The sequence below is a fragment of the Homo sapiens genome, chromosome 2 (assembly GCF_000001405.40).
Source record: "Homo sapiens chromosome 2, GRCh38.p14 Primary Assembly".
NCBI classification, from domain to species: Eukaryota; Metazoa; Chordata; class Mammalia; order Primates; family Hominidae; genus Homo; species Homo sapiens.
This window is the reverse complement of record NC_000002.12, coordinates 223,112,807-223,124,038: the sequence shown is the minus strand read 5'-3', so window position 1 is coordinate 223,124,038 and position 11,232 is coordinate 223,112,807. Positions and strand designations below refer to the sequence as shown.

Below are 11,232 nucleotides of genomic sequence, written 5' to 3'. Positions count from 1 at the left end.
GTTCCTGCAGATGCAGCCCTTGAAGCAACTCCCTTAGCTCTTCCCCCTTCTACTATAAAATTCCCCGCACACTCTGCATTTTCTTCCCCTCTGGATTCCGGGCTTCTCCCTCTGAGTGGCAGCAACAATGTGTGAGTACTGGATGTGTGCAGGAGACTAATTTCACTTGGGAAAGTTCCAAAAGGAAAATAACCTGTTTGAAGTGATAGTGCAGCTCAGGTGGGTCCTGAACAGGGTGGGAGTTTGCCAGGAAATGATCTTTCCTAGCAGTGCTGTAGCTACAGTACTCCCCTGCAGCAAGAATGAACTGTATCGGTCAGCAGAGGTGAGATTCTGCAACAGTAACAAAAGACTCAAAAATCTCAAGAGTATTTCTTCTTTTCAATGCTCCTTGGCCATCAAGTGTCAGCCCTGGTCTGCCCTACCATTCCTGGACCTAAATGGAAGGAGCAACCCATACTAGGAACATTGTTGGGCTCACCAAAGAGGGAAGAGAGAGAGAGAGGTGTGGCCCAAGAGTGGCTCTTAAAGCTTCCATGTGGAAGTGCTGTGTGTCCCCTGTGCCCATATTTCAGTGGTCAATACAAATTACATGATGGCTTCCAAGTTCAACACGATGGGAATGGATAGTAAGCAGGGGGACTAAAAGTCACATGGCCAGCTAGAGGGGATTAGAAAACCAAGGCTAAGAATGGCCAAGTGACTGTCCCAGGGCCACCCAAATAAGAAGCAGCAGAGTGAGGACTGCCCAGATTCTCTGTCAGATCTCCGTGCCTAACAAAGTGCCTGGCCAATTACCTCTCTGCACTGAGAGAGGTATGCATTCAATAAATACTCCTCTGAATGAATTAAGTAAACAAACGAGTGAATGACTTACTGAATGACTATTGAAACTCAACTCTGCCAAGGTTTTGTCTTGGCAATGCTAATTTACAGGAAAGACCTGTTGGCATAATTAAGTTGGAAAGTGCTGTTTGCAAAGTAACCCTGGAAGTGTCACCTTTCACAGCTCTCATGAGAACAAATCATCACTGGCAGCCATGTCAACACAAATAAGCCAAAGGAACCTTGTCAACACTGACGGTCTCCATTTTTATATTTAAAAAAAGGCACCAGAGAGGCTGGCCAGGCTACGCTCTGAGCTGGAGCCAAAAAGCTATTGCAGTCTCCTGCATTGAGACTTTGTGTTCTTTTCCATTGTGAGCGATTGAGCTACTGTGTAATATTTCCAGCCTGTCCTTCCTGTGACAGTTCAACCAAAGTTTAGTAATTTGTAAGAAAAATCTTAAATGATACCTCTTAAGTATACAATACTCTTTAGCCACAGGCTAAACTGCCTCACCTTAACCCCAATAGAAGACAATAGAAAAATCTTACTACAGTACTGAGTAAGATGAAAATAGGAATCTGCTAAGGTAATACAAAGATAGTTCATCTTTCAGCTTATTCTGAAATGATTTGTTTACTTGAGCAATTTCAACTTTTTTTTTTTTTTTTTGAGACACAGTCTTGTTCTGTCACCGAGGCAGGAGTGCAATGGCACAATCTCGGCTCATTGCAACCTCCGCCTTCCAGGTTCAAACAATTCTCCTGCCTCAGCCTCCAGAGTAGCTTGGATTACCGGTGCCCACCACCACACTTGGCTAATTTTTGTAGTTTTAGTAGAGACGGGATTTCATCGTGTCAGCCAGACTGGTCTCGAACTCCTGACCTCAAGTTATCCACTCGCCTTGGCCTCCCAAAGTGCTGGAATTACAGGCGCAAACCACTGCACCCGACCCACAACTTTTGAAGACAGTATTAAACATTTAAAGCTTAAAATAGTAAAAATCAGATGAAAAAGTATTCTTCTACTCCCATGTGAAAGTTTCTTTTTTCTCTAAAAAAAAGAAGAGGAAGGAGGATGAGAAGTCCATTAAAATGTTTTGTATGACATATTTGATGCAGTAGTGCATGACCAACAAGAAAAGAGTGGATAAAAATCTGTTACAGGAAGTGAATCAACTTTACACAACTCTTAAACTGTCCAATGATTTTTATTTAAGCATATGAAATAAACTTGACTCTCACATTTTATATATGTTATGGATCAATATTATAAACTCAATAGAGAAGCTTAGGTTTTTTAGTTTGTATGTCATCCATTGGGTCTCCCATGAAGACCTACACATAATAGGTATGTACTTATTGCAAATTAACCTGCACTAATATCCTCATCAAGGAAGTATAATTGGCAAACGTCCTTCCATTTTTGTCTATTCTTGAGGGCTCCATTATTCATCTGAAGTCTTCTTCCAAGACCTGGGGGTGTTAACAAATACAGAAGCATTTCAATTTCATAAGTCTGACTTTCTCATTTCAGAAGCCAGTGCCAATAAACCTCTTTTTGGAAGGCAAACATCAAAGGCCCACCTTTCCAGTGCTAATTACCCAAATAGAAAGAGAAACACAATTCTTAAGTGGATAACTGTTCCCAGCAGTTAGAGATCTAATCCTGGTCTTTGGTCAGGATATGATTAGTGTGTGAGTGTTGAGATATTCTGTTTATGTATTCCATGTTTGATCTGGTGTTCAGCCATGTGCCAATAATAACAACAAAAACAGTAGCATTTGTTGTGTATCTTCTATGTGCCAAGTAATCTTCTGAGTACTTTACATGTATTAAAACATTTAATGCAGCCTCTATGTTATGTCCCATGGTTCTCAGCCTTGCCAGCACATTAAAATTACGCAGGGAGTTTTTAAAACAAGAAACCCATATGCCCAGGGCACACTGCCTTGACCAACAAAATCAGAATCTCTGGGAGTGGACCCAGACTTTATAAATCTTCCCCAAGTGATTTTAATGTACAGTCAAGGTAATTAAAAAGTTTGACCTAGTCTAAAAACAAGGGACAAATACAGTCATGCAGCTTTGGTTAATCACTTAAGACATGGTCTATAAGCAGAAAATCTAATAGTTCCTTCTTAAGACATGCTCTCCATCTAAGTATTCAAGTGACTAGGGACTCATTTGGTCCAACTTTGGGAGTAACTGAGGACCAGTCTTACTTCCAAGTGCCAGGTAGAGCAAGCCCTGGATCCTAACAGCCCTCTGATGGCCCTGCATCTCATTGCCACAGGCATCTATGCAACACTCTAGGGGTGCAGCTTGGTTCTTGTTGCATTGATTTTTTAATCTTGCAACTTTACTGAATGTATTAGTTCTAAGATTATTTTTGTAAAGTCTTTAGGGTTTTCTACATATAAGATTATGTCATCTGCAAACAGAGACAACAAGCTTTGGAGAGGATGTAGAGAAACAGGAGCCTACACAGTGTTGATGGGAATGTAAATTAGCACAGCCATTATGAAAAATAGTATAGAAGCTCCTCGAAAAAAAATGGAACCAACATGTAATCCAGCTATTACATTATATTACATATAATAGCCAATTCTGGCTATACAGCCAAAGGAAAGGAAATCAGTATGTTGAAGAGATATCTGCACTCCCATGTTCACTGAAGCATTCTTCACAATAGCCAAGACATGAAATCAAACTAAGGGCCCATCAACAAATAAATAGATTAAGAAAATTGTCATATATATTCAGAGTGGAATACTATTCAGCCTTAAAAAGAAAAACAAGAATCCTGCATTTGCAAAAACATGGATGAACCTGAAGGACATTGTGTGAAATTAAATAAGCCAGGCACAGAAAGACAACTACTGCATAATCTCACTGATATATGGAACCTGAAAATGTCAAACTCACAGAAGCAAAGAGTAAAATGGTGGTTACCAGAGGCTGAGGGGTGGGGAGATTTGGGGAAACAAAGAGAGAGAAGCAGGATCAGAGGGCACTGGAGGGTCATACAGTGACCTGAATTTGACACCAAGTGAAGGCAAAGGGTAAGAGTCAAAGGGAAAAAGAGAAGAGCACCAAGCTTCCACCCTCGTCCTAGTGTCTGAGGCCAGGAGTTGAAGGCGTCTCTCTGTCTGCTAGTGCCAGGCACACAGTGCAGCTTCAGAGGCCCCCATGGCTAGAACTGGATAGATTCTGCTAAACCCCCAAGGGTCCAATTCACTTTCCAGCCAGAATCCAGCCCAGTGGCTTTTTTTCTCAGCTGATTCAACCCTTCTTCTCATTACCCAAAGCTCCAGTACCCTTCCTACTATTCCTGCAGAGATTAATTTATCTCCAATAACCCCAGTAGGAACCAAAGCTTTCCTGTTACACACAATCAAGATGTAATTCCAAGTTATGTTTGAGTATATAGGAAGAAAGTTCAGCCATATGTACAGAAATGGCAATGATTTTAACCTGTAACTCTACCTACTAATAGCCATTGGAAGGCATCTAAAAGATGTGGATAGATTTCCTCTAAGGAGGTGCAGGCCATACCAACAAACTGCTCAACATTGCCATTTTAAAGGTGTGGGAAGTAAGAGCTTGTTTCCACATACCCACCATGAGCTGAGTGAGAACAACAGGATTATGAATTGGATTCACATGTCTAAAATTGGGTCCTGCACCAAGTCCCTCGTGATGAGTAAAACTGAGAAAAAGAACCCAGAAACACATCCATGACAGCTTAATAGGATTTAAACAACTCTATCTCATTAACTTTTCAAGGGAACCCTGGCAAAGTATGAAATTTAAGCACCACTCCAGGCTGAGAACAGTTATCTGTTGTTCATGTCACTGCACCTGCCCTATACTCCAAAGACATGGGCCACAGCTGCTTCTCCCAAATGTGCCCTAGAATATCTAAAGGGTTGGCTGGCACACAGCAGGAGGGCATTCTGTTAGTGAGGGATGCCCCTTTTGAAGCTGTGTGTGCATAGCAAGTGCCCAGTTTTTATTTAGATTGCATATTTATTTGGAGTAGGATGGGTAGAAATTCCAACAGGGCTGAAGCCCTTCCAAGCCATATTTTTGCTCCAACGTAGGTATATCCAAAGTGAACACGAACCTCAATGGCAGAGTGAAAAGTGGCCCAATATGCTCTATCTATTGCAATGTGGGAAGCTTCTTTTTCTTGTATTTTCCTTTATTTTGATCTTTTTTTTTTTTTGGCAAAAGTAAAAGGATAGAGAAGCATGAATAGAAAATTTTCTATAATAAGAATACTATCAAGAAAATCCCCAAATTCTTAAGTTGGTTAAATGTTGTGAAAGAGATTTATCAAGAAATTTAATCATCTTTAAGTATTTCTCAGAACAGATACACTTTCAGAGAATCAAGAGATGCTTACTTTCTTTTCTCAGAACTGTTGTATACCACTTAAGCATTTTCCTGAAGGGAAACTGCCCCAACCAAGGGAAGGTCACCGGTGCACGCCATCTTTGACATAAATGTGACTTGTTTGATTTCCTGAGAATGAAAAGCCACCAATCCATCTTATCAGCAACACATTTTGTGAATGATACAAGCATCTGCTTCTTGACAAGACTGGAGTGATTAATACCATCCGAGAAAGGGTTAATTAAATTACCATCTATTTTCAAGCCATCCTGAAATAACCTTGTGGGAATTCTTTGAACCTGAGAAAAGCCACCAAATAAAGAAATTTGATGCGTAGTTCCCCTCACAAGGATAGTTTTGGCTATTTGGCAACAGGAAAGAGTTCTGGCAACAAAACCCTCTAAGGAGGACACTCCCATAGTTGCCAATTAACAGAAAGTCATCTGGGGAGAATGCACTATTCAGAGAATACAGTTGGCAGAACCTGTATCAACATATTTGCAGGTGAATTACTGTATGCAGTTGTTCAATGGTTTTGCCTCTGCTCTTTGGCAAGAAGGGAATTAGACGCAGGATGTGATTACTACCTTTAATATTCAACTTGGAAAGTTTCAGTCGTATGCATCATCTCATGGATGTCCGCATTCAGTTTCTTAAAAGTCTTTCAAAATGAAAGTACTATGTTAATTGATGTAAGACCACTACCCACCCTTTGGAGATACATCACCTGCTCCAGAAATTCCACTATGTACCCCCTCCCTGCACCCCAGGCTCCACACCTCCTTCAAAGCACACCCATGGTAACGAAGTCCTCCCTGCATCACAAATCAGATCACAGTGTGGAGGAATTTCCTGCTTAGACATCTTCTTCCATAATGGACCGGAAGCCTCTCCAGACTGGGAACTGGATCTCCTCCTTCTTCCTGTGTCTCCATCTGGAGCACAGTGCCTGGTACAAAGCAGGTTCTCTGCAACTGGTAGCTGAGTTCAAGTGAACTGAGACCCTTGGGGACGGGATTTCCCAGTGCTTTTAAATGTGCTTTTAAATGTGCTATTTAACCCTCCTTCCTATGTGAAATAAAAGGGGACTTTTTACAGACATTAAATTTCCTATGAGCCATTTCTCAAAACTAAAATATGTTTATATGTGTTTTCCGCTATGCTAACCCCTGGTGTTTTCCGGTCTTCAACCAGAGCTCTTCTTCAAGCTGTGACCCATTCCTTTGTTTCAAGTGTTTTAATACTTGTTTTTTTTTTTTTTTTTTCCATCTCCATGGTGTTTTTCCTTCTGCAAATTATTTTTCCCTTTGGACCTCCTTCCTCCAGCAGTGTACAGGCCTGTGAAAGTAAAGTTTGAAGAGTCTTCCTGATTTTTACAGGAAGCTCTAAGAAAGAAGTAGATGAATATTATCCATGTTTAAATAGGATTCATTTGTCTGGTGTTTACCTACTATTGTAGTGTTCCACTAAAATTTAATAGAAAAAGTTTCAATGGAATACCTTGCCTTTTAATTAAAAGCCACAATTTTATTTGAATGTCAGAAATGCACTAAAGAAAATTGGCTGGAATATTTTAGGGAAGTGATTTGGAGACCTAAAAAGGTGAACAAGGTACAAAGGGGAAGATGTATGATAAACTCAAAACATACTCAAAATTTAAGTGTGCCTTACAATTGTAGATTTAAATGATTCTTAATATCATATGAACCTCATTGTGTATATAATAGGAAGTTAGAATTCAAGCCCCATGACGGCAGGGTCTATGTCTGACTTGCTACTCTCCCTAGTACTCATCAAAGCACCTGGTGCATAGCAGCCTCAATATTTGTTAAATTAATGAATATTTCTGAGTAATTAAATAAGTGGGGTTAACAGAAGTGAGTCCAAATGGATGAAAATACTACCTATTTCCCTCATACACCTCATTATACCTCATTATAGCACTGGGAATAGAAAATTGACTCAATCCAAAATAAGTCTACCAACAATTATTCAACTAACCACTGAGATCATGCAGAAGTTGTGCATAAAATAAAGATAAAAGATTTTGCCCTTGTCCTCAAGACAATTATTCTCAAGCTATGGGCTCCATACGCACACGAAATTAACAAGAGGAAAGGCAACAGATTCCTCTGTTTTTCCATTTTAAGCAGTGAGCCAAGAAAAACTATACATAACTGTTTACCTACAGGATCTGTGATATTTTATATAATGCCTATGAGGAAAAATGACTATTTCCACAGCTTTCGGTTTAAGAAATGAAAAGAGGTGGTTGGGCTTAGGATATTAGAGATAAGAAAAGCCCCAAAATTGGAATCTCTGATTTGAAGCATTTTAGCTGTATAATCTGGAATACTACCCAGTGGTAGCAGAAGTTAATGTTTATTAGGCCTAATATGAACTTTCCACTGTTCTACTATAATATTTCCACTATTGCAAGCACTTTCCACTATTCACGCACTCCTTTAACAACCCCGTTAAACAGCTGTCATTACTGTATGATTGGCATTTTACTGATTTAGACAACTGAGGCTCAGAATGCCTAACTTGCCAAAGGTTGTGCAACCACTGAGAGGCTAGCTCAGGATCTGACCACAGGTGGCCAGATAGGAGAGCCCACCCTCAGACCACCATGGATAGTGGTGACTATGGCTTGTGCTGATTCTCAATCAGTGATATCACTGTCATTTGGTGATTCTCAATCACTGAATCTTAGTCAGTGCTAATCAGTGCCATCCCTTCTGGAGGTCCACTGAGCCTCATAACAACTTTGGGAGGATCCTTTTGATCCTCAGTTTATTGATGAGAAAACGAAGGCTCAGGGAGGTCAGGTAACAGAAGATGTAAATTACAGAGTGTATAGCCGGTGACTCCAAATCTGGCTTCTTTCACTATAGCATGGTGCCTCTCAAATGACAAGTATGTGTCATCACTCTGTCACAAAATGTGGGGAAGGTCTATGCTTCCAGAAAGTTTTGGTCTTCAAGATGCTCGCATGAACCAAAACAAAGAGAACCACAGTTGCGGCTTACTGAGACTTTTTTTTTAATTTATGCGAATGAAATCTCTCTGGCTACCTCTCTTGCAATGCTTGATGATCTTTGGCATCTGAGCTGCCCTATTCTTGTTCCTACAGGTTTTCTAAACACTGGTAATAAGTGTGAAGAATCTAGCAGTGTCTTGGAGCACAGCAAACATTGGTGACTACATTTTGCATCCCAATGGCTATCTTAAATGTGAAGAATTTTTGGTAATCTCCCTCAGAGGTTTTAGACATTAAGTTTTTCATTATAGAACAAGATCAATGCGGCTACTTTTTACATAATTCATATCATGAGGACCTGATAACATTCCAGTGACTCTTTGTAGTACCTCAAAAGAAATGAAGTTCCTTCTAAAATGCATTAGCCAGTCAAGAATACAATGTTCTGGTAAGGCTGCTGAAGGCTGCCATGTGATATCAAAGATTTCCAAAGAATATCTGAGTCATGAATCCTTCATTTAGTGATTTAAGATTATTATGAAGCATCTGACCCCCAATCCAAAATGTAAAACACTAATAAACTCTTTAAAATATTCAAGTTAAACACAATTTATTATCTTAATATCCTCCTACTAATTATGCAGTTGTCATCATTCTCAAAATTAAATGACTGCTTCCTACAGTGCTGGGAAAAGAGGAAGTGCCTGACCTCAAGAAACTTAAACCACAGCAGGCATGATTCCTTCTACCTCAGTTTCCCTACATGAGAAGACTTCCTTAAAGGTGAAGTTTGGATTGGAAACCATATCGGACAGGTCCGGCTCCAACCAAGTCCCCAGAGAACTTCTTCTTCTTTTTTTTTTTTTTTTTTTTAAGGTGGAGTCTCCCTCTGTCGCCAGATTGGAGTGCAGTGGCGCAATCTCGGCTCACTGCAATCATCTCCGCCTCCCAGGTTCAAGCGATTCTCCTGCCTCAGCCTCCCAAGTAGCTGGGATTACAGGGGCATGCCACCACACCCAGCTAATTTTTGTATTTTTAGTAGAGACGGGGTTTCACCATGTTGGCCAGGATGGTCTTGATCTCCTGACCTCTTGATCCGCCTGCCTCGGCCTCCCAAAGTGCTGGGATTACAGGCGTGAGCCACTGCGCCCGGCCAGTCCCCAAAGAACTTCTACAAGCTCACCCCTCCACTCCCTACTCTCCAGTATGTTGGAATTATGCAGTCTTTCATTTTTAGAAATGTATGTGTAAAAGACCTCAAAGAATCTTCAGCTCCAGTCTCCTACTTTACACTTGTTTGTAATTTTTCTGGTTTTTGAAGATCCTAAGAACTTAATCTATAATTTTCTCTTGCTTATTAGGCTAGAGACTTATTATGGACTCCAATGGTCTAATAAAATGCTCTTTCCTGAAACTTAAACCCATTTCCTGTTGAATTCTATACAGCTGGAGAGTCGTGTTGACTTTTCGTGTCTGAAATAACAATCATGAAGCCTTCACTGCTTTTTCTTTTATGAGTCAACAACTGTCTTAGTTAAATTATTTCTGTACGCAAGAAACAGAAACCAGCTTTAATAAATGTTTAATAAAACTTCACAAGGAATTTATTATAAGGGGATATTACATTCTATATAAGGACAAGGATACACCTGAACCTCAGAAAAGGACTAAAACTATGAAATGAAGCAGCTCTGGAACCAAGGTGACTCTCCTATCAGTAACAAGTAGAGAGTTCAAACAGAGCCTGAAGCCAGACTCCCCAGGTTCAAGTCCCAGGTCCACCACAGGCTCTACCTTCAGAGAAGGGCCATCATCACAACCAGTCCTTCTTCCTCATGATCAAATCATGTATTCCTTTCTGAAACTCCTGAAGTTCCATTACACCTCGCTAAATGTTGCACTCTCTCAAAAGTATAGAACAAACTCTATGGGCAGAAAGAGAGAAGCTCAGTATTCTTCACCTGTAGAAGTCAATACTTTTCCTGGAATGAGAAATAGACCGTTTGTACCTCTATCTAATATCACTACTTCTACTACATAACTGACCCACATGCTACACTCTCATTGAGCTTAGTAGAATTAAGACAATAGAGTCTTTTTAAAAATAGTTTATCTATTCATTTTGATTTTGAGGACAGTTTAGTTTGTGTCTTCAAGTAAGTGGTAGTGATTTGCCCTAACTGAGTTTTACACTCTTTTAGAGGTTCTAATTTCTTCCTTTCCTATCTTTCAGACTACTGTCTGGAATTCGATTACTATCTTTCAGACTCTCAGCACCCTATTATTTCAGGCCATCTGAAAACTCAACAACTACATTCTTGATGCCATTCTTCAGCTGCTAATCCATCTTCAAGTTTGGTCACCCACAGCATGTATGACAGATGTCATACAAAGCAGATGGCAGTTGCCATCAGCACCAACCCCTTTTATCCTTTCTGCCAAAGGCTGACAAACCTTATGGTAATCTTCAATGAGTCACAGCCTTGTATAATCCCTCCCTGTGAATGTGGGCAGAACTTGTGACTTACTTCTAGCCAATAAAATATGGCAATGGTGATGAGATGTTACCCCCATGATTATGTGACATTACTTGAAACACTGTTTCAGCACACTGGAGTAAGATTCTCTTGCTGGCTTTAATGAACTAAGCTGTCATGTTGCAAGGGAATCTATCAGAGGTCCACATAGCAAGGAATGGGAGTGGCCCCTAGGAGCTGACAGTGTCCCCAGCCACTGTCAACCAGCAGGAAAATGGGGACCTGAGTCCTACAACCCCAAGGAACTGAACTCGGTCAACAATCTCAAAAGCTCAGAGGAAAACTCTGGCTCCAGGAAGGAATGCAACCCAGGCAGCAACTTCATTTCAGCCTCATGAGTTCCTGAGCACAGAATCCAAGTAAGCCATGTCTGGACTCCTAACTCATGGTAAATGCAAATTATAAATGAATGGTGTCTTAGGCCACTGAATTTGTGGTAATTTGTTATGCAGCAAGATAAAACTAGTGAAGCATTCATCTCCTCC

The 11,232-nt window shown here is 40.4% G+C and overlaps 1 long non-coding RNA gene across 1 annotated transcript in view; it reads right to left on the bottom strand.

Moving 5' to 3' along the window:
• Nucleotides 1-2,017: 2,017 nt before the first annotated feature.
• LOC124907986 (uncharacterized) overlaps nt 2,018-11,232 on the bottom strand; it is a 61,427-nt gene continuing 52,212 nt past the window's right edge. Inside the window, exon 2 of the long non-coding RNA XR_007088096.1 lies at nt 2,018-2,301. This is a non-coding gene — a long non-coding RNA (uncharacterized LOC124907986). The remainder of the gene's footprint in view (nt 2,302-11,232) is intronic.